General features: G+C 38.4%; 2 long non-coding RNA genes across 2 annotated transcripts in view, besides 1 other annotated feature; one reads left to right on the top strand and one right to left on the bottom strand.

Annotated features, from left to right (window-relative positions):
• Positions 1-24,491, top strand: part of PTCSC3 (papillary thyroid carcinoma susceptibility candidate 3) — a 41,833-nt gene that overhangs the window by 6,942 nt on the left and 10,400 nt on the right. Inside the window, exons 2-3 of the long non-coding RNA NR_049735.3 lie at positions 7,098-7,157; positions 15,887-15,977. This is a non-coding gene — a long non-coding RNA (papillary thyroid carcinoma susceptibility candidate 3). The remainder of the gene's footprint in view (positions 1-7,097; positions 7,158-15,886; positions 15,978-24,491) is intronic.
• LINC00609 (long intergenic non-protein coding RNA 609) overlaps positions 4,493-24,491 on the bottom strand; it is a 94,862-nt gene continuing 74,863 nt past the window's right edge. The window contains exons 2-3 of the long non-coding RNA NR_073454.1: positions 5,515-5,661; positions 4,493-4,669 (exon numbers count right to left, since the gene is read on the bottom strand). This is a non-coding gene — a long non-coding RNA (long intergenic non-protein coding RNA 609). The remainder of the gene's footprint in view (positions 4,670-5,514; positions 5,662-24,491) is intronic.
• Positions 6,894-8,093: an enhancer, noted in NCBI's record as "CDK7 strongly-dependent group 2 enhancer chr14:36630894-36632093 (GRCh37/hg19 assembly coordinates)". NCBI's record gives its function as "activates an origin of replication core promoter dependent on BRD2, BRD4, P300/CBP, MED14 and CDK7 cofactors, with strong dependence on CDK7, by STARR-seq in HCT116 cells {active_cell/tissue: HCT116}" and the evidence as "EXISTENCE:reporter gene assay evidence [ECO:0000049][PMID:35650434]".

Here is a 24,491-nt window from a genome sequence, read left to right as displayed (position 1 = left end):
CCCCAACTCCTTGTTTCCTTCCATGGACATAGAGCTCTACCAGCTGCTTTTCCTCTCCTAGCTCTTCTATTTCATTTCTCATTTTGTACAGAAACTGGGAGGACAAAGAGGTACTGCTTATTGTTCCCCTAAACACAACCAGATTGATAGGTAGAAAGATGAATTGCAACACATAAATTAACTGGCCCTACATCCCTACTTCCCATTTAAATTGCCATTGAATATATAATCACCAACTAGAGAAAGAGAGCAAACACTGCTAAACTTCAAAAAGCTATCCTTGTCAAAGTGGTTGCCAGAAATAGACAGTTTGGGAGATTCTGATTGTACCTGAATCCATTTTCTCCATTCTCTCTCAAAGGTATTTGTGTACTTACACAGATACACACACAACCATACTCATCAGAGATCTGAGACACCACGAATAATGGTAATGCGTATTCATAAATGTTTTTTAGAGTGTATCATTTATGTAATCGACATAAATAGAACTTTGAGAGCTATTCTTAATATTACAATTATATATTTAGGACACATTTTCCATAGATTTAAAAATTTAAAAAAAAATTTAAGGCAGTATGTTTGTCCCACAGCTGAGTTTTAAAATTTTGCCTCCCATATTGAATGTGTAAATTTGGAAGATCTCTGACTGAATCAAGTAGCAGGTTTGGTCCCCTCTAGTACTAACCCAGTTATGGGATTTAAGAGAGTTTTTTTTTAATGTCTCTATAATTTCTCTTAATGTGTAAAATAAAGGGGTCAACCAGACAGTCTCTTAGATCTCTGTTTAAACTCTGAAGTTTTAAATTCTAATAATTGCATTTTTTGGTGCTGTTCTAAGCTATTCTTAAAATCTTTCTAGCCAGGCACAGTGGTTCATCCCTGTAATCCAAACTACTCAGGAGGCCAAGGACAAAGGATGGCTTGAGGCCAGGAGTTTGAGACCAACTTGGGCAAAACAGCAAGATCACCATCTCTAAACAAAAAAATGTTTTAAGTTAGCCAGGCATAGTGTCAGGTACTTGCAGTTCCAGCTATTTGGGAGGCTGAGGTGGGAGGATTACTTAAGCCCAGGAGTTTGAGGCTGCAGTGAGCTATGATCCTGCCACTGCACTACAGCCTGGGTGACAGAGCAAGGCCCCATCTCTAAATAAGTAAATTTTTATTAAAAACCTTTCTTTCTCTGTTTCCTTTCTTTTTAAATCTGAGTTTCTGCTTCTATTATTTCACTCCAGTGGACAGTACTCTAGTTATGCTACAAAGAAGAATACAGTAGACAGCATAACTAGAATCCTTCCAACCTTAACTAGCTGGAAGGATTCTAACTCCAGCATATAATTAGAGTAATAGCAAAGTATTTCTGCAGCCACACAAAAAGTAGAATATATATATATATATATATATATATATATATATATATTCAGAATCAATAGTTTAAACTCCCAATAATGGGTTTTAATGGAATGCAAAGGCATAATGTTTTATTAACGAGAGGGTGTTGTTTAGGTAAAGATCATGGAAATGGAACTAGAAAGTGGTAGTTAATTCCATTTTCTAGAACACAGACAACACACATGAAACTAGCTTGACGAAAAAGTGGCCTATTCAGCCAAAGTCATATAGAGAAAATATCAAGATAGAAAATAAGCCATTCAGCAGCAACAGTTCTGAGCATCAGGAGCAACAATATTATTGGCAAGAGCTTTCCCTTCAAGCTACCAGCATCACTGGACTTCAAAAGGATTGCAATTCACATGCCTGGGAACGTGCAGGCCAACAGCAGGGGAGGGAGGGGGTGTCTTTTTGTGAGAAAGCATGAAATTTTTCTAAGGTACATTATAAAATGGCTTGGCAGAAGCTTGGTGTGTAAATACCAAGGTTAGCATATTCTTTGTTGTAGCTCTACAGAACGTTAAGCACTGTATTTTTTAAATCTTAACATTTTAGAGTGCTTAAAATGAGTACTGTTCCCATTTAATTGGAGCGTTTTTTCCCCTCTGACGGGCAGACTATGAGGTTTCCTAAGTGCTTTCCCTAAGTCCAGAATCAAAGAGATTTGATTGGTTCTTTCCTTCACCAGCTTATTTTATTGTGTTGGATGATGACTTGGCTTTTCATGTAACCCTGAGAGAGAGGGATTTGTTTACGCTCCCCTGGGCTTTGGGAGGGGACTGAGGTCTTTGAGGAAGAAGGCAGCTTTGGATAACATCGAGAACTAGGATTTGGTGGTGAAGTTGTATAATGAGACCACATTCTACCCAGGACTGAACATGACTATCGAAGCCAACCTACTCAGAGCATTTGATACAGAAGTTAAAATGGGTTCAGTCTTCTTTGTAAATAAAATTGTATGTTTTTCCTTGTGGCTGTGGGGTCCCAGTTAGAATAAGCTGTTTATAATGACATAAATAACCATGGCATCTCTAGAAGTTATGCATCAACGTCTTTTCACCAGTGTGCAGAGAAAGGGAAAAAAAACCTAACAGAGGAAATGGGCCAGCTAGCTTCCTGCATTCCCAGTCATTTATTAGAAAATAATTAAGATTTCATCATAAAATAAGTTGGTGAAACAGAAATAGGATTAATCATCTGCAAAGAGGAGAAAAAGTACTGAAATAAGTTTGCACTCACTATTGCTGGGTTTAAAATGGTTTCTCTTTTACAAATGTGCTTGTTCTAACATCCAGAAAGTTGACCTTCTCGGCCATAGAACTAATTAGCCATGAAAGTCATTCTATCCCAGAGAGAGAAAGATTATGGTATAGCCTCTATCATCCACCTTAGAATTCATGGCTAGAGTGTCTGAATTACCTGTCCTAACCTGATTTGTTGGTCGCTATAAAGTTCAGATGGTGTTTTCCTTAGTGATTATAAGAACTCTATTAGGAGAACTGCACTTTTAACCTTCCAGTGCAGGCCAACTATATTTAGAGTTTTGTCTGCTAATGCTTCAACCCTTTAATAGAAGTGAGCAAAAATTTAGAAAGAAAACCACCAAACATTGGCAATCCCTGCACAGTTGTTTCACGATATTCACTATTAGGCAAGATCTATATTATCATACCTTCTATTTCTGCCTGACACATGAATATGACTGTTAAAACCAAAGATAAAGGTACATTCCCTAGCAACCACAGAGAGATTTCTGGGACAACTGTAACAATAAAGGAAATATCTCCCAGACATATTAAGTGCAAAAAGCTGGATGTAGCACAACATATATGATGTGAGTCTATTGATTAAAAAACCAAGAGTATGTATATGTTTCAGTCTGGAAGGACACATATCAGACACCCTGCTTAGAAAGGATATTTTTGCTTTGTCTGGAATATTTGAACTTTTTATAAAGGAAATCTATTAGTGTGTTTTCACTTAAAACAATTTAAAACATATAGCACTAAAAATTCAGACGTAGTTGAGCCTTAATTTAATAACTTACACATATTTCACTCTGCTAGGAATATGTTTCGTCCTTACGTTCTCTGTAGCGTATTTTATTAAAAAGTCATCAAGGACTTAAGACTTATCTGAAGACAGAGGAAGCGTGTGAGCAAGCTGTTGCTGTAGCGTGCCTAGAATACTTTCACATATTACTTAGCATGAAATCCTGCACACAATAGCCATCGGGTGGATGGACAGACAGGTGGACGGATGGACAAAACAATATGAAGACTTTTGAACTGATCATTAATCCTGGCTGACTGATAAGAGAAGCATGTAAGCACTCTAGAAGGACAGTTCTTTCGGGTAATTTTTATTTTGCAGTAAGTTTAGAATTGCTAGTTTTTATAATGCCTCTGACTGTATTTAAAAGAGAACTTCTCATCCTGTTCACTGACAGCTTTTCAATAAAATTTGATATATACCATGAATCACAAAACCGCTAAGCAAGTTTTCAAATGCAGTTTCAAAAAGCCCTAACAAAATTGTACTTGCCTCGCCAAATGTGAAAGTTCCTCCCACGGCTTCTTCTACTGCCCTAAATCATTAGTTTCATTATCGTCCTGAAGCAGATATTCCAAGACACCACCAATTCCTACAAAAAAAAAAAAAAAAAAGGAAAAATAAATAGATCAGGAAATACCCATCTATCTGTTTCATTAACTTCCTTAGCTGAAACTACAGTTGAGTTAAAGGAAAGGTGATTGGTTAAAATATCTAAAACGCTAATTTAAAAAATACCTGCGATATCATCTCTCTTTTTGACCCATCCTTAAATTTAACTGCTTTTTTTTTTTATAGATTGCAAACAAGGGATTTATTTTTAACTCTCAATCTGTTGTCATTATGCTGGGGGTAAATAAATGAGGGCAATGGTCAAAGTGAAAATAATCTCATAGAGAAACAGACAGAGATGGAGAGAGAATGTGCCTTTAAATCACCAGAGAGGCCATAGAGGTAGAAAGAACATAGGACAAACATAGCCAGGTCCTAACCTTAGGGGAGGGACAGCTGTGCTTGGCTTGATGGGGCAAGCACACTTACCTGTTCTAAGTGTCGCATATTCTTTTTTCCTGCTTCCTCTAATGTCTTTTCATCATGGTCTTAACATTGTCTTATAAACTGCTCTATCTACTGCTCACACCTCCACTTCCAGTCTTCTGACTGCACGTGGGGAGAGGGCAAAAATGACTTGAGATGGGCGAGATGGGCCGAGAATGATGGGATCCTGGAGAATATTCACTCGTCAGCTGTGAGAAGTAGTCAATGGACCACTGCGGCTCTTTATTTGCATAATGAGGTTATTCCCCCGGATACCCCCAGGTTACTTCCAGGTCTAACATTTGATATTTTCATCCCTTTTGGTCAAAGATATGACACTGCCTGGGGAAATTAAGTGTCCTATGACATTAACTTGACATTAAGTAGTAGGAATTAACAAAGATATCACCGTTACAAAGATATATTACATTGTTACAAAGATACATATAGCAAAGACATATTAATAAAGATATCATTTTCTGTTAATGTTCTACAGGAATCTCTTCCTTCCAGTGTATTTATATTGTAAAAATGGTTCTGATGTCTCCTGGCAGCAATGCAGAACTACAATGTAAAGGGATGGGGACATAGAGGTCAGTGGGGAAATGTACAGGTTGTAGTATCCAGTGTTTTCAAATTATCTGTCTATGTATGAAAACTGAGAATCTGTAAATGTCCAAGTACGGATAGTTGTTTTATAAAAAATAAAAAATAGTTCTAACTTTAATACATTTAAGACGTTTTCCTGGAAAATTTTCTAATTTAGCATGATGAAAAGAATGACTGGTTTTTAAAGTGCAGTTGAACAGGCAAATTCCCTTTATAAGAAAATAACACATAAATGCAAGGATTACAACTTTGAAATTGCTTGAAATCTTTTCTACCAGTGAACACTGAAATTTGTATCTATTTATATTACCATCTTTCAACAAATGCTTTAACCTTAGTATTTTATAGCCCCTTCCTTTATATTCTCCTAAGTAAAAACTCTAATTTTGTGGCAAACATTTAGTGAAATATGATTTATCTCACCTATTTCATTCTATCCATATGGCTTCTAAGTCTTGAGAGTACAGGTGGAAACTGTCCGTAGCAAATTGTTCCTGTCATAGTTTCCCGAATATTTCAGTCTTCAATTAACCATAGTTTAAATTAGTCAGAACATCCAGGAAGCGAACACTGGTGAGAGTGAATGAGGCAGAAAATTTGATTGTGTTATACATGAAATTCAGCTATTCAGTGAAATTCTCCAAATGTTGTAATTCTGCTGTCCTGATTACAATTATTTCATCTATGTGGTGCATATATATTTTAATCTTCTCCTGACACCGTCTGTTGTTATAAATGAATTTGTCTTCCCAGCTATTCACAAACGCATTTGCATTATTGAGGTCATGTCTGACTATAGGTCTTGGTTCCATGATTTAAACAATACTTAATCTTACCTCCTGGGATTATTTTTGCATTAGATGATAATTGATTGGAAATCCACTGACAAAGTATAAAGATATCATTTTCTGTTAATGAGCTTGACAAAGGAGGATTCGTGCCGTTCTATTTTAAAAAGAAACATTTCTTGACCTTGAATATAGGACTAAAATGACCTTATATCACAAAACATTCACAATAGAATGTTAGTTAAGCTTAACGGTTTTCTGGCAAAAGCCCTTCTAGATACGTGCAGAATTCCTGTAAAATCGGGTTCTAAACATGTTTTCAGCCCATGTGGTCCTGACCTCTGGAAGTTAGTCCACTTATATTCTACATTCAGATTTTCTTTTATATTTTTCTTTTTTCCTCCCTTCCTTTCTTCCTCCCTCCCTCTCTCCTTCCTTTCTTTAGTTCCTTAATGTATTTCTTTGTTCTTTTTTTTTCCTCCATGGTGTCTAGTTGCTTTTTCCAATTTCCATTGTTAAGGCTGGATTCCATAGGAAATAAAGGTGAGAAGAGGTAAAAAATATTGTACCTTGGGGGAGTGCAGAGAAGATGTGGGAGCAGTGACATATTTTTTAGTGTCTCCTTTTAATTAATTTCTCCCCATTTATGCTTATTTTATTCTTTTCAAAATTTTTAAAGTTTGTTATTGTTTTTAGAGATGGACTCTTGCTATATTGCCCCAGCTGGCTTCAGACCCCTAGGCTCAAGTAATCCTCCTGCCTCAGCCTTCTATGTAGGTGTGTACCACCTACCATGGCTATTTTTTTTTTCACTTAATTTATATAACAGAACCTGAGACAAGTACTCTTGCTTCAGATTTTAACCTTGCTTTATTTTTCAGTTCTTAAGCAGCTATTATGTAAAGATAGCTAAAATTTTCTTCAAAAAGAAAAAAGACTACCATCCATTTTTGTTTTTATGGAAATTTTGGAAAGCTTAAAAACACTTCCGTTGAAGAGAACTGACACCATATAAGCATGTGGTCTCAAGTCAATACCTGGAGGTTCCCAGTACCAGTGCAAACTCCATTACTGATGGAATCATGGCAAGGTTTTGAAAATCACTTATTTTCTTAGCATTTTCCCCTAAATCAGGAACGATGATAACATCCTCTCCACAAAACTACAAGGTAATCTATCATGGACTGACTCTCTAAAAATATAAATCCTGGATTGCAGGCAAAATGGCCGAATAGGAGCAGCTCCAGTCTACAGCTCCCAGGGAGATTAATGCAAAAGGTAAGTGATTTCTGCATTTCCAACTGAGGTACCCAGTTAATCTCATTGGGACTGGTGAGACAGTGGGTGCAGCCCACGGAGGGCGAGCCAAAGCAGGGTGGGGCGTCGCCTCACCCAGGAAGCGCACGGGGTCGGGGAACTCCCTCCCCTAGCCAAGGGAAGCCCAGAGGGACTGTGCCATGAGGAAGGGTGCACTTTGACCCAGATACTATGCTTTTCCATAGTCTTTCCAACCCGCAGACCAGGAGATTCCCTCCAGTGCCTACACCACAAGGGACCTAGGTTTCAAGCACAAAACCGGGCAGCCATTTAGGCAGACACTGAGCTGGCTGCAGGAGTTTTTTTTTTTTTTTTTTTTTTTTTTTCCATACCCCAGCAGCTCCTGGAACGCCAGTGAGACAGAACTGTTCACTCCCCTGGAAAGAGGGCTGAAGCCAGGGAGCCAAGTTGTCTTGCTCAGCCGATCCCACCCCCACAGAGTCCAGCAAGCTAACATCCACTGGCTTGAAATTCTCAGTGCCAGCACAGCAGTCTGAAGTTGACCTGGGACACTCGAGCTTGGTGAGGGGAGGGGCATCTGCCATTACTGAGGTGTGAGTAGGCGGTTTTACCCTCACGGTGTAAACAAAGCTGCCAGCAAGTTCGAACTTGGAGACGCCCACCGCAGCTCCGCAAAGCCACTGCAGCCAGACTGCGTCTCCAGATTTCTCCTCTCTGGGCAGGGCATCTCTGAAAGAAAGGCAGCAGCCCAAATCAGCGGCTCATAACCCTGGGACAGGGCACGTGGGGGAAGGGGTGGTTGCGGGTGCAACTTCAGCAGACTTAAATGTGCCTACCTGATGGCTCTGAAGAAAGCAGTGGATCTTCCAGCACAGCGTTCAAGCTCTGCTAAGGGTCAGACTGCCTCCTCAAATGGGTCCCTGACCCCCATGTCTCCTGACTGAGAGACACCTCCCAGCCGGGGTGGACAGACACTTCATACAGGAGAGCTCCAGCTGGCATCTGGCGGGTGCCCCTCTGGGACAAAGCTTCCAGAGGAAGGAACAGGCAGCAATCTTTACTGTTCTGTAGCCTCTACTGGAGATACCCAGGCAACAGGGGCCTGGAGTGGACCTCCAGCAAACTCCAGCAGACCTGCAGCAGAGTGGTCTGTCAGAAGGAAAACTAACAAACAGAAAGAAATAGCATCAACATCAACAAAAAGGATGTCCAGACACAGAAAACCCCATCCAAAAGTCACCAGCATCAAAGACCAAAGGTAGATAAATCCACAAAGATGAGGAAAAACCAGCACAAAAAGACTGAAAATTTCTAACACCAGAATGCCTCACCTCCTCCAAAGGATCACAACTCCTCGCCAGCAAGGGAACAAAAGCAGACAGAGAATGAGCTTGACAAATTGACAGAAATAGGCTTCAGAAGGTGGGTAATAACAAACTCCTCGAAGCTAAAGGACCATGTTCTAACCCAATGCAAGGAAGCTAAGAACCTTGAAAAAAGATTAGACTAATTGCTAACTAGAATAACCAGTTTAGAGAAGAACATAAATGACATGATGGAGCTGAAAAACACAGCACGAGAACTTCATGAAGCATACACAAGTATCAATAGCTGAATCAAGTGGAAGAAAGATATCACAGATTGAAGATCAACTTAATGAAATAAAGCATGAAGACAAAATTAAAGAAAAAAGAATAAAAAGGAATGAACAAAGCCTCCAAGAAATATGGGACTATATGAAAAGACCAAATCTATGTCTGATTGGCATACCTGAAAGTGATGGGGAGAATAAAACCAAGTTGGAAAACACTCTTCAGGATATTATCCAGGAGAACTCCCCCAACCTAGCAAGACAGGCCAACATTCAAATTCAGGAAATACAGAGAACACCACAAAGATACTCTTCAAGAAGAGCAACCCCCAAGACATATAATTGTCAGATTCACCAAGGTTGAAATGAAGGAAAAAATCTTAAGGCAGCCAGAGAGAAAGGTCAGGTTACCTACAAAGGGAAGCCCATCAGACTAAAAGTGGATGTCTTGGCAGAAACCCTACAAACCAGAAGAGAGTGGGGGCCAATATTCAACATTCTTAAAATAATTTTCAACCCAGAATTTCATATCTAGCCAAACTAAGCTTCGTAAATGAAGGAGACATAAAATCCTTTACAGACAAGCAAATGCTGAGAGATTTTGTCACCACCAGGTCTGCCTTACAAGAGCTCCTGAAGGAAGTACAAAACATGATAAGGAACAACAGATACCAGCCACTGCAAAAACATACCAAATAGTAAAGACCATCGACACTATGAAGAAACTGCATCAATTAATGGGCAAAATAACCAGCTAGCATCATAATGACAGGATCAAATTCACACATAACAATATTAACCTTAAATGTAAATGGACTAAATGCCCCAATTAAAAGACACAGACTGGCAAATTGGATAAAGAGTCAAGACCCATCAGTGTGCTGTATTCAGGAGACTCATCACACATGCAAAGACACACATAGGCTCAAAATAAAGAGATGGAGGAATATTTGCCAAGCAAATGGAGAGCAAAAACAAAAGCAGGGCTTGCAATCCTAGTCTCTGATAAAACAGACTTTAAACCAATAAAGATCAAAAGAGACAAAGAAGGCCATTACATAATGGTAAAGGGATCAATTCAACAAGAAGAGCTAACTATCCTAAATATATATGCACCCAGTACAGAAGCACCCAGATTCATAAAGCAAGTCCTTAGAGACCTACAAAGAGACTTAGACTCCCACACAATAATAGTGGGAGACTAACACTGTCAATATTAGACAGGAATATTAACAAGGATATTCAGGACTTTAACTCAGCTCTGGACCAAGCAGAACTAACAGACATCTACAGAACTCTCCACCCCAAATCAACAGAATATACATTCTTCTCAGCATCACATAGCACTTATTCTAAAAGTGACCACATAATTAGAAGTAAAACACTCCTCAGCAAATGCAAAAGAATGGAAATCATAACAAACAATATCTCATACCACAGTGCAATCAAATTAGAACTCAGGATTAAGAAACTCAAAACCACACAACTACATGGAAACTGAACAACCTGCTCCTGAATGACTACTGGGTAAATAATGAAATTAAGGCAGAAATAAATAAGTTATTTGAAACCAATGAGAACAAAGACACAATGTACCAGAATCTCTGGGACACAGCTAAAACAGTGTTAAGAGGGAAATTTATAGCACTAAATGCCCACAAGAGAAAGCAGGAAAGATCTAAAATCAACACCCTAACATCACAATTAAAAGAACTAGAGAAGCAAAAGCAAACAAATTCAAAAGCTAGCAGAAGACAAGAAATAACTAAGATCAGAGCAGGACTGAAGGAAATAAAGACGCAAAAAAAACCCTTCAAAAAATCAATGAATCCAGGAGCTGTTTTTTTTTTTAAAGATCAACAAAATAGACCAGTAGCCAGACTAATAAAAGAGAGAAGAATCAAATAGATGCAATAAAAAAAGATAAAGGGGATTTCCCCACTGATCCCACAGAAATACAAACTACCATCAGAGAATACTTTAAACACCTCTATGCAAATAAACTAGAAAATCTAGAAGAAATGGATAAATTCCTGGACACATATACCCTCCCAAGTCTACACCAGGAAGAAGTTGAATCCCTGAATAGACCAATAACAAGTTCTGCAATTCAGGCAGTAATTAATAGCCTACCAACCAAAAAAATTCAAGGACTAGATGGATTCACAGCCAAATTCTACCAGAGGAACAAGGAGGTGCTTGTACTGTTCCTTCTGAAACTATTCCAAACAAAAGAAAAAGAAGGACTCCTCCCTAAGTCATTTTATGAGGCCAGCATCATCCTGATACCAAAACCTGGCAGAGACACAACCAAAAACGAAAATTTCAGCCCAATATCTCTGATGAATATTGATGTGAAAATCCTCAGTAAAACACTGGCAAACCAAATCCAGCAGCACATCAAAAAGCTTTTCCACCATGATCAAGCTGGCTTCATCCCTGGGATGCAAGGCTGGTTCAACACATGCAAATCAATAAACATAATCCATCACATAAACAGAACCAATGACAAAACCACAGGATTATCTCAATAGATGCAGAAAAGACCTTCAGTAGAATTCAACACCCCTTCATGCTAAAAACTCTCAATGAACCACGTATTGATGGGACGTATCTCAAAATAATAAGAGCTATTTGTGACAAACCCACAGCCAATATCTTACTGAATGGGCAAAAACCGGAAGCATTTCCTTTGAAAACCAGCACAAGACAAGGATGCCCTCTCTCCCCACTCCTAGTCAACATAATATTGGAACTTCTGGCCAGGGCAATCAGGCAAGAAAAAGAAATAAAGTGTATTCAATTAAGAAAAGAGGAAGTCAAATTGTCTCTGTTTGCAGATGACATGATTGTATATTTAGAAAACCCCATCATCTCAGCCCAAAATCTCCTTAAGCTGATAAGCAACTTCAGCAAAGTCTCAGGATACAAAATCAATGTGCAAAAATTACAAGCATTTCTATACACCAATAATAGAAAAACAGCCAAATCACGAGTGAACTCCCATTTGCCATTGCTTCAAAAAGAATAAAACACCTAGGAATCCAACTTACAAGGGATGTGAAGGACCTCTTCAAGGAGAACTACAAACCACTGCTCAAGGAAATCAGAGAGGACACAAACAAATGGAAAAGCATTCCATGCTCATGGATAGGAAGAATCAATATCATGAAAATGGCCATACAGCCCAAAGTAATTTATAGAGTGAATGCTATCCCCATCAAGCTACCATTACATTCTTCACAGAATTAGAGAAAACTACTTTAAATTTCATACGGAACCAAAAAAAGAGCCCATTATAGCCAAGACAATCCTAAGCAAAAAGATCAAAGCTGGGGGCATCACACTACCTGACTTCATCAAAACAAGCAATGGGGAAAGGATTCCCTATTTAATAAATGGTGTTGGGAAAACTGGCTAGCCATACGCAGAAAACTGAAACTGAACCCCTTCCTTACACCTTATACAAAAAAGATGAATTAAAGATGTAAACGTAGGACCTAAAACCATAAAAATGCTAGAAAAAAACCTAGGCAATACCACTCAGGACATAGGCATGGGCAAAGACTTCATGAATAAAACACCAAAAGCAATGGCAACAAAAGCCAAAATTGACAAATGGGATCTAATTAAACTAAAGAGCTTCTGCACAGCAAAAGAAACTACCATCAGAGTGAACAGGCAACCTACAGAATGGGAGAAAATTTTTTCAATCTATCCATCTGACTTAGGATTAATATTCAGAATCTACAAAGAACTTACATTTACAAGAAAAAAACAACCCTATCAAAAAGTGGGTTAAGGATATAAAACTCCTCAAAAGGAGACATTTATGCAGCCGAAAAACATGAAAAAGAGTTCGTCATCACTGGTCATTAGAGAAATGCAAATCAAAACCACAATGTGATACCATCTCAAGCCAGTTAGAATGGTGATCATGAAAAAGTCAGGAAACAACAGATGCTGGAGAGGATGTGGAGAAATAGGAAAGCTTTTACACTGTTGGTGGGAGGGTAAATTAGTTCAACCATTGTGGAAGACAGTGTGGCGATTCCTCAAGGAGCTAGAACCAGAAATACCATTTGACCCAGCAATCCTATTACTGGGTTTATACCCAAAGGATTATAAATCATTCTACTATAAAGACACATGTACATGCATGTTTATTGTGGCACTGTTCACAACAGCAAACACTTGGAACCAACCCAAATGCCCATCAATGATAGACTGGATAAAGAAAATGTGGCACATATACACCATGGAATACTATGCAGCCATAAAAAGGGATGAGTTCATGTCCTTTGCAGGGACATGGATGAAGCTGGAAACCATCATTCTCAGCAAACTAACACAGAAACAGAAAACCAAACACTGCATGTTCCCACTCATAAGTGGGAGCTGAACAATGAGAACACATGGACACAGGGAGGGGAAACATCACACACTGGGGCCCGTCAAGGGGTTGGGGGCTAGGGGAGAGATACTATTAGGAGAAATACCTAATGTAGATGACGGGCGGATGGGTGCAACAAACCTGCACATTCTGCACGTGTATCCCAGAACTTAGAGTATAATTTGAAAAAGAAAAAGGAATGAATGAAGATGAGTGACAAGTAACAATGTCAACAGATTTTATTCTTTTTGGTGACAAAGTAAATGTACCCATACTCCCTAAGACCCACTGTTTGATCAGGAGGAAGGCAAAAAGCATTCTAATCTTTCATCACAATGCCCTTCAGAAACATCAGCGTGTGTGCATGCATATATTGTTATCTTTTGAAACTAATAAAAATCAGTCACTGAGGAAACATAAAACAACCACCAAAGGTAGAGCTGTTCTCAGTCTGCAATGCTCACCATGAGCAGAGACGTACGGTGATGTACAAAAACTTACCAGGCAGAACCCACAGACCATATAATCTTCACAAAAGCTAGAAAAACCAGTTTTGGACAATGTGACATTTTACAGAACACATTCAAGTTGGTACTGTCATGAGGGGAAACCCCCATAAACCAAAAGTTTCATGCAGAGCATGATTTTGGAAAGGACAGAGAATAGTAAGATACAATCTATTGGATGCAGTAACATTTCTGCTAATGTGAAAGTCCAGTCTATATTATTGAATGAACAATAACCCAAAGGAGAGCTACATTTTATTAGGTTAAGAAAATGGAAATGACTTTGTGCTTTTCTCAATATGAATATTAAATATATACATATATATATAAATCCCTTTCACCAATTTGGTTATATGATCAAACTTAACAACCAACCACTAAAAGATACTGCCAGCACATGGGCATCCAAATCTTAGGATTATTTTGTGAAATTGTACAGGACACAGAGAAAGAGAGGAAGAAATTTTCAATCAAGCAAATTTAGCAAGATTTGGCAGACTCAGTTGCGCAGATCGGTTGAAATTTGGTCTTCCATTATTACTGTATCATTTACTCTTGTGTCATCTAAGGACAACCTTCTAACTAAGACTCTCTTATGCTGCAAATGATTATAATTTAAGGACCGTGAGTGTATAAAATAAGCTATTATATATGTATATATAAAATATACTCTAATAAATACAAAATAAAGAGTGTATGCATTAAAGAACCACTTGTGAACTCTTGGAGCATGGGGGTAGCAACCAGCTACTTATACACCTATAGTAGTATGTATATCATCATCTAACTAGGTTTTCTTGATAAAGTTTTTACTGTGGAACCTCAAAATTGTTATTAAGACTTTTTTCTATCTCAATTTCTTTTCCCTGATTTACATTAGGTATACAGATAAGGAAGAAAAATAATTATCAGTCACTTAACTACCTTGGAGTTTCAATAGTGAATTCTTTGGTTTTTGAATGTTAGAATCTTTAATAATGAGGTAATTATAGCTCTTTGGCCATTTAATCTTCATCTTCTAAAATTTAGTCATTGTCTTGCAAGAAGTTGTGCCTTTTTCCTGAGGTGTAATTTGTGCCATGAAAACTCACCTTAAAGGAGAAAAAGCTCCAGCAGAGAATATAATACTCATCAGGGCACTGTTTTCTCATTTATATGATATAAAGAACTAATTTGTGAATGCATGGGGCCAAGAAGGGAAGATGTCACAGAAAAAATTCCTTCATTTGGTGACTCAATGTATTCAGACTGGGTCATATCAAATGGTAATGTTGAAATTAGACATTTTACATAACAATTAAAATTATTTACAGACATCTCTACTTGGATATCCCAAAGGGAACCCAATCCTAACATGTTTAAAACTGAACTTCCCCAGCTCCTTGCCCCTCCCCCAGAGAGAGAAAGAGGAAAGAGAGAGAGGCCTCTACTCCTCTTGTGCTCCTGATTTCAACATAATGCACCACCTCCCTAACCACACAACCCCAGTCAGACCCTCATCCCCTCTCACGTGGCTGTTACCAACGCCTCCTGACATTCCTGTCTTACCTCTCCCCAACCCATCTTTCACACAGTTCCTAGAGTGATAGTAAGTAATATTTAATGATATTTTCTAATCACAACAGTAATTTGGTTCATTGAAGTAAATTTGAAAAATACAACAAAATCACAAAAATGAAAATCTCACTACTCATTGATATTCACCATTAACATTTTGGTATCTTTTCAGCATGTTTGTGATAATGTGTGCATAATTTTGGAGGGTACGTATTATTATATAACCTGTTTTTTAAAGTAAGTTTCATATTGAAGTAATAATGTACATAAGTTAACAGCTTCATTAATTTTTACAAAGTAAACTCCATGTAACTACCACCCAGATCACTCACCAGAAGCCCTCATGGTGTCCCCTCCCACTCGTTATCTCCTTGAAGGTAACCACTATTCTAATGGCATTGACTATTTGTGCCTGTGTTTTAATTTTACATAAACAGAATCATACAACATGTTTTCTTTAGATTCTGTCTCCGCTCACTTAATATTGTAGCAGTAGTTTTTTTTTTTTTCGAGACAGGGTCCCACTGTGTCACCCAGGCTGGAGTGCAGTGGCACCAACTCAATTCACTTGCAGGCTCGACCTCCCAGGCTCAGGTGACCCATACCACCTCAGCTTCCCAAGTAGCTGGGATCACAGGCATACACCATCACAACTGGCTAATTTTTGTATTTTTTTGGAGAGATGGAGTCTCGACACGTTGCCCAAGCTGTTCTCAAACTCCAGGGCTTGAACAATCTTCCCACCTTGGCCTCCCAAGGCACTGGAATTACAGGTGAGGCACCATGTCTGGCTTGTTTATTTTTATTATGTAATATTCCATGTACAAATATAACAAGATTTATTTATCCATTTCCACTCTTATTAGAATCTGAATGTTTCTACTATTATAAATTATACTGCTATGGACATTCTCGAATGTGTCTTCTGGTGCACATATAGATGCGTTTCTGTTGGGTGTAAACCTAGAAGTGAATTTTGGGGGTCAAAGAATACATGTTTTAGCGTTAACAGATACTGCCAAAGAATGTTCCAAAGTGGTTGTACAAATAATCTCCTATTAGTAGTAAGTGAGAGTTTCCATTGCTTAACACTGTGGGTGTCAACATCGTGTCAACACTATGGATTTTTACTGTTTTGATTTCTAAATTTGCCATTCTGATGGATGCGTAGAGTTAGGATTTGAATTTGTGATTCCCTCACGGCTAATGTTTTCATAGGCTCAATGGCTATTTGGATATTGTTGTACACTAAATATTTGTGCCCCTGCCAAAATTTATATGTGAAATCCTAACCCCCAATATGATGGTATTAGGAGATAGAACTTTTAGGAGTAATTAGGTCAGAAGAGTGGAACCATCATGAATGGGGTTAGTGCCTTTATAAGAAGAGACGAGGGAGAGATTATTTCTCTCTCTGTCATGTGAGGATACAATGAGGAGACAGCCATCTGCAAATCAAAGAGGACCATCAAAAGAACACAATCATGCTGGAATCCTAATCTCAGACTTCCAGCCTACAGAGCTGTGAGAAGTAAATGTGTGTTGTTTGACCAACTAGTCTATGGTATTCTGCTATAGTAGTCCAAGCTGACTGAAACAGCTGTCCTCTTTTGGAAGTGCCTGCTAAAAACTTGGGTTGTCTTTTTTCTTTTTCTTTCTTTCTTTCTTTTTTTTTTTCCTTTCGAGATGGAGTCTCGCTCTGTTGCCCAGGCTGGAGTGCAGTGGCACCATCTCAGCTCACTGCAACCTCCACCTCCTGGGTTCAAGCAATTCTCCTGCCTCAGCCTCCCAAGTAGCTGGGATTACAGGTGCCCGCCACCATGCCTAGCTATTTTTTTTATTTTTAGTAGAGAAAGGGTTTCACCTTGTTGGCCATGCTGGTCTCAAACTCCTGAACTTCAGGTGATCTGCCTGCCTCGACCTCCCAAAGTGCTGAGATTACAGGTGTGAGCCACTGCGCCTCGTTTTGTTGTTGTTGTCGTAGTTCTCATATTCTGAATACAAGCCCTTTGACATAGATGTTTTAAAATACTGAATATTAAGTTCTTATTTGTATTGTGAATATCTTTACCTACTCTGTGGTTTTATTTTCACTATTTTGATGCCTTTTTTTGATGGGATCTCATTATGTTGCCCAGGCTAGAGTGCAGTGGCTATTCACAAGTGCAATTGTAGCACACTGTAGACTCAAATTCCTGGGCTCAAGCAATCCTCCCACCTCAGCCTCCTGAGTAGCTAGGACTACAGGTGTGTGCCACCATTCCTGGCTTTTCTTGATGTCTTTTGATGAAAAAAAGTTTTTTTTTTATTTTAATAAAGTCCAATTTATTCATTTTTTTCTTTAGCATTTTTTTACCTTCAAAAAACTTGTCTATCTCAAATCATGAAGATATATTTGTATGTAATATTGTAGAAATTCTACTATTTTACCTTTTATATTTATATCTAAAATCCACAGAGAAGACTTATGATTTCCACTCTGACATGTAAAGAGTTTTAAAGAGTTTGCAAGTCATCATTCCTGTCCTCACAACAAGAGGGCTGAAAATTTGAAAATCAACAAATCTTCTTAGATCCATCAGAGCATTGCAGTTACAAATCACAATGAAATGAAAAATCATTTTCATGAGTTTTCCCTCCAAAAGACCCACCAGTTTATCACAGTGAACATCTGAGAAAAATTCCCTCTTGCTTCCAGCAAAGACAGGTAAAAATAATAATTTTGAAATGTACTCAAGGGAAAAGTATCCATTTTGAAATATGCCCAGAGCATTCTGGTCTTCATTCTGTCCTCTATAACAAAGGCTGGCTCTCAGGGAAACTACCACAGCCTTATCTGACCTGATGGAAGGTCAATTAGCTAACTCCAGCCTCAATTTCAGTCTCACATAAGCATAGGGGAGAAAAAGGCTAAGAACTTCTTCTAAAAGTCACAACCCAGGGAGTATAGCCCACCAAAGAGAAGAGAAAGGAGAGAGATATTTTAATCACAAAATAATATAAGATTATCATAAGATAATAGGCCAGAACATCCAAGAACTGTGGGACAAGACAAAAGGTACAACATACATATAATGGGAATACTAGGAGAAGAATGAAAGATGCAAAAGAAATATTAGAAGTAATAACGTATCATAATTTTCCACAATTAATAAGAAACACCAAGCCAAAGATCGAGAAAGCTCAGAGAATACCAAGGGAACGAATACCCAAAATTTAGGCATATGATATCCCAACTGTAGGAAACCAAAAACAAAACATCTTGAAAAAAGCCAGAGGGCAGGGGCGGGGGGGTAATACCTTACCTACAGAGGAACAAGGATAGAGTTATATTGGAACTCTCTTCAGAAACCATGCAAGCAAGAGAAGAGTGGAATGAAGTATTTAAAGTGTTGAAAGAAAAAGACCACCAACCGAGATTTCTATATCCAGTGAAAATATCCTTCAAAAGTGAAAAAATTATAAAGGCTTTTTCATACAAACAAAAACTGAGGAAATTTGTCAGCAATAGATTTATTTGCCTTGCAAGAAATGTGAAAATTTCTTCAGGGAGAAGAAAAATGATATAGGTGAGAAACTTGCATTTACATGAACAAAGGAAGAGTGTTAAAGAAGGTATAAAGGAAGGTTTTTTTAAAAAAATACCTTTCTTATTCATATCTTATGTAATATATAATTGTTTGTTCAAAATAATATCAACAACATATATAGCTTCCGAATAAATAGAATAAATGCACCAATGTTATAAGGAATGAGAAGACATTGGGAAGATTTTGTTATAATGTATTTGCACTTCCCATGAAGCTACATACTATTATTTGATAGTGAACTTAGATTATTTGTAAATATATATTGAAAACTCTAGGTCAAGGCCTAAAAATTTTTTAATCGATTTCTAAGAAAGGAGGGAAAATGGAATCATATAAAATGCTCAATTAAAATCAAAGAAGTTAGAAAAAGGGAAGATTTTTCAAAAGTGAAACAAATAGAAAACAATTTAAAATGTGGCAGGTATTCAACTGTATCAATAATCACTTTAGATGTCAGTCCCTTCAGGCTGCTATAACAAAATACTATAAACTGAGTATTTCATAAAACAGAAGTTTATTTCTTACTGTTCTGGAGTCTGGGAAGTCCACAATCAAGTCACCAACAGATTCAATATCTGGTGCGAGCACACTTTTTGGTTTATAGATGGTACCTTGTTTCAGGGTACCTTGTTTCAGGGTCCTCATGTGGTGAAAGTTGTGAACAAAGTGCCTTGGGCCTCTTTATAAAGGCAATAATACCATTCATGAGGGCTCTACCCTCATAACTCAACAACCTTCCAAAAGTCCCACCTCCTAATACTATCATCTTGGAGGGTAGCATTTCAAAACATGAATTTTGAGGGGACATAAACATGCAGACCATAGTAGATCTAAATGACCTAAATATACCAGTTAAAAGACAAAGGCTATCAGAGTGGATTGAAAACAAGACCCAACAATAATCCTACTTTAGACACAGGTTGAGCATCCCTAATTTGAAAATCCAAAATCAAAAGTGTGCCAAAATCCAACATCTTTTGAGCACTGACATGATGATCAAAGGAAATGCTCACTGGAGAGATTTTCAGATTAGGGATGTTCAACCTGTAAATATAATACAAATATTCCAAAGTCCAAAAAAGTCTGAAATCTGAAAAACTTTTGGTCCTAAGCATTTTGGATAAGGGATACACAGCTTGTGTAGAAATGCAGATTAAAAGTAAAGGGATGGAGAAAGATGTACCATATTAACACCAGTCAAAAGAAAGCTGAAGAAGCTACGTTGATTTCAGATAAAGCAGAATCAAGGCAAGGAAATTTATCAGGGATAAAGAAGAGTGTTATATATTAATAAAAGTGTCAATTCTCCAAAAAGACATAATAATTAATGTGTATTCAGAGAACCAGAATACATTATGCAAAACTTACAGAAGTATAAGGCAAAGTAGATGAATCCACAATTATAGTTGGAGATTTTATCTGTAATGCACAGATCCAGCAAGCAGAAAATCAGTGTAAGAATATAGTTGAACTGAACAGCACTGTCAGTCAACTGGATTTAATTGACATTTTTAGAACACTTCCCCAACCACAGCAGAATAAACATTCTTATCAAACTCACAGGGAACATTCACCAAGATAGACCACATTCTGGGCCATAAAAACATCTGTAATAATTTAAAGAATAGAAATCATACAAAGTATGCTCTTAGACCACAATTGAATTAAAATAGAAATCAATAAAAATATCGAGATGGATCTCAAATATTTGGAGATTAAACAACACACTTTTAAATAACACATGGGTCAAAGAAGAAGTTTCAAGAAAATTAAAAAATAAATGAAAATAAAAATACAATTTATCAAAATGTGCAGAATGCAGCAAGAACAATGTCTAGAGGGAAATTTGTAATACTGAATTTACATATTAGAAAAGAAGAAAGACCTAAAATCAGTAACCTAAGCCTACACATTAGATAACTAGAGAAAGAGTTATATAACCTTAAAGCAAGCAGAAGAAAAGAGCTAATAAAAATTAGAGTGGAAATTAACAAAATTGAAAAAGGGGAAGAAATAAGAAAATCAACAAAACCAAAAATAGAGCAATCTAATTGATAAACCCTTAGCCAGGCTAACAATGTAAAAATAAATTATTAGTATCAGAAATGAAAGAGGAGACATTACTACTGACCCCATGGCCAATAAAAGGATAATAAAGACTATTTTAAACAACTCTATGCCCACAACGTGATAATATTTAGATAAAATGGGCTAATTCCTCAAAAGATCTATAAAAACTCATACAAGGAGAAATAGACCATCTGAATAGGCCTGAATCTATTAAAGAAATTGAATGGGGGGAGGAGCCAAGATGGCCGAATAGGAACAGCTCCGGTCTACAGCTACCAGCGTGAGCAAGGCAGAAGACAGGTGATTTCTGCATTTCCATCTGAGGTACCAGGTTCATCTCACTAGGGAGTGCCAGACAGTGGGCACAGGTCAGTGGGTGCACACACTGCACGCTAGCCGAAGCAGGGCGAGGCATTGCATCACTTGGGAAGCCCAAGGGGTCAGGGAGTTCCCTTTCCGAGTCAAAGAAAGGGGTGACGGACAGCACCTGGAAAATCGGGTCACTCCCACCCGAATACTGCGCTTTTCCGACAGGCTTAAAAAACGGCGCACCACGACATTATATCCCACACCTGGCTCGGAGGGTCCTATGCCTATGGAGTCTCGCTGATTGCTAGCACAGCAGTCTGAGATCAAACTGCAAGGCGGCAGCGAGGCTGGGGGAGGGGAGCCCGCCATTGCCCAGGCTTGCTTAGGTAAACAAAGCAGCCGGGAAGCTCAAACTGGGTGGAGCCCACCACAGCTCAAGGAGGCCTGCCTGCCTCTGTAGGCTCCATCTCTGGGGGCAGGGCACAGACAAACAAAAAGACAGCAGTAACTTCTGCAGACTTAAATGTCCCTGTCTGACAGCTTTGAAGAGAGCAGTGGTTCTCCCAGCATGCAGCTGGAGATCTGAGAATGGGCAGACTGCCTCCTCAAGGGGGTCCCTGACCCCTGACCCCCGAGCAGTCTAACTGGGAGGCACCCCCCGAGCAGGGGCACACTGACACCTCACACGGCAGGGTATTCCAACAGACCTGCAGCTGAGGGTCCTGTCTGTTAGAAGGAAAACTAACAAACAGAAAGGACTTCCACACCAAAAACCCATCTGTACATCACCATCATCAAAGACCAAAAGTAGATAAAACCACAAAGATGGGGAAAAAACAGAACAGAAAAACTGGAAACTCTAAAAAGCAGAGCGCCTCTCCTCCTCCAAAGGAACGCAGTTCCTCACCAGCAAAGGAACAAAGCTGGACGGAGAATGACTTTGACGAGCTGAGAGAAGAAGGCTTCAGACGATCAAATTACTCTGAGCTACGGGAGGAAATTCAAACCAAAGGCAAAGAAGTTGAAAATTTTGAAAAAAATTTAGAAGAATGTATAACTAGAATAACCATACAGAGAAGTGCTTAAAGGAGCTGATGGAGCCAAAAACCAAGGCTCAAGAACAACGTGAAGAATGCAGAAGCCTCAGGAGCCGATGCGATCAACTGGAAGAAAGGGTATCAGCAATGGAAGATGAAATGAATGAAATGAAGGGAGAAGGGAAGTTTAGAGAAAAAAGAATAAAAAGAAATGAGCAAAGCCTCCAAGAAATATGGGACTATGTGAAAAGACCAAATCTACGTCTGATTGGTGTACCTGAAAGTGATGGGGAGAATGGAACCAAATTGGAAAACATGCTGCAGGATATTATCCAGGAGAACTTCCCCAATCTAGCAAGGCAGGCCAACATTCAGATTCAGGAAATACAGAGAACGCCACAAAGATACTCCTCCAGAAGAGCAACTCCAAGACACATAATTGTCAGATTCACCAAAGTCGAAATGAAGGAAAAAATGTTAAGGGCAGCTAGAGAGAAAGGTTGCATTACCCACAAAGGGAAGCCCATCAGACTAACAGCTGATCTCTCAGTAGAAACTCTACAAGTCAGAAGAGAGTGGGGGCCAATATTCAACATTCTTAAAGGAAAGAATTTTCAACCCAGAATTTCATATCCAGCCAAACTAAGCTTCATAAGCAAAGGAGAAATAAAATACTTTACAGACAAGCAAATGCTGAGAGATTTTGTCACCACCAGGCCTGCCCTAAAAGAGCTCCTGAAGGAAGCACTAAATATGGAAAGGAACAACCAGTACCAGCCGCTGCAAAATCATGCCAAAATGTAAAGACCATCGAGACTAGGAAGAAACTGCATCAACTAACGAGCAAAGTAACCAGCTAACATCATAATGACAGGATCAAATTCACACATAACAATATTAACTTTAAATGTAAACGGACTAAATGCTCCAATTAAAACACACAGACTGGCAAATTGGATAAAGAGTCAAGACCCATCAGTGTGCTGTATTCAGGAAACCCATCTCATGTGCAGAGACACACATAGGCTCAAAATAAAAGGATGGAGGAAGATCTACCAAGCAAATGGAAAACAAAAAAAGGCAGGGGTTGCAATCCTAGTCTCTGATAAAACAGACTTTAAACCAACAAAGATCAAAAGAGACAAACAAGGCCATTAAATAATGGTAAAGGGATCAATTCAACAAGAAGAGCTAACTATCCTAAATATATATGCACCCAATATAGGAGCACCCAGATTCATAAAGCAAGTCCTGAGTGACCTACAAAGAGAATTAGACTCCCACACATTAATAATGGGAGACTTAAACACCCCACTGTCAACATTAGACAGATCAACGAGACAGAAAGTTAACAAGGATACCCAGGAATTGAACTCAGCTCTGCACCAAGTGGACCTAATAGACATCTACAGAACTCTCCACCCCAAATCAACAGAATATACATTTTTTTCAGCACCACACCACACCTATTCCAAAATTGACCACATACTTGGAAGTAAAGCTCTCCTCAGCAAATGTAAAAGAACAGAGATTATAACAAACTATCTCTCAGACCACAGTGCAATCAAATTAGAACTCAGGATTAAGAATCTTACTCAAAACCGCTCAACTACATGGAAACTGAACAACCTGCTCCTGAATGACTACTGGGTACATAACAAAATGAAGGCAGAAATAAAGATGTTCTTTGAAACCAACGAGAACAAAGACACAACATACCAGAATCTCTGGGACGCATTCAAAGCAGTGTGCAGAGGGAAATTTATAGCACTAAATGCCCACAAGAGAAAGCAGGAAAGATCCAAAATTGACACCCTAACATCACAATTAAAAGAACTAGAAAAGCAAGAGCAAACACATTCAAAAGCTAGCAGAAGGCAAGAAATAACTAAAATCAGAGCAGAACTGAAGGAAATAGAGACACAAAAAAACCCTTCAAAAAATTAATGAATCCAGGAGCTGGTTTTTTGAAAGGATCAACAAAATTGATAGACCGCTAGCAAGACTAATAAAGAAAAAAAGAGAGAAGAATCAAATAGACACAATAAAAAATGATAAAGGGGATATCACCACCAATCCCACAGAAATACGAACTACCATCAGAGAATACTACAAACACCTCTACGCAAATAAACTAGAAAATCTAGAAGAAATGGATAAATTCCTCAACACATACACTCTCCCAAGACTAAACCAGGAAGAAGTTGAATCTCTGAATAGACCAATAACAGGATCTGAAATTGGGGCAATAATCAATATCTTACCAACCAAAAAGAGTCCA

This window comes from Homo sapiens, chromosome 14 (assembly GCF_000001405.40).
Source record: "Homo sapiens chromosome 14, GRCh38.p14 Primary Assembly".
In the NCBI taxonomy this organism is placed as follows: domain Eukaryota; kingdom Metazoa; phylum Chordata; class Mammalia; order Primates; family Hominidae; genus Homo; species Homo sapiens.
Note: the sequence above shows the minus strand (reverse complement) of the source record. Positions and strands in the feature narration are given on the sequence as shown.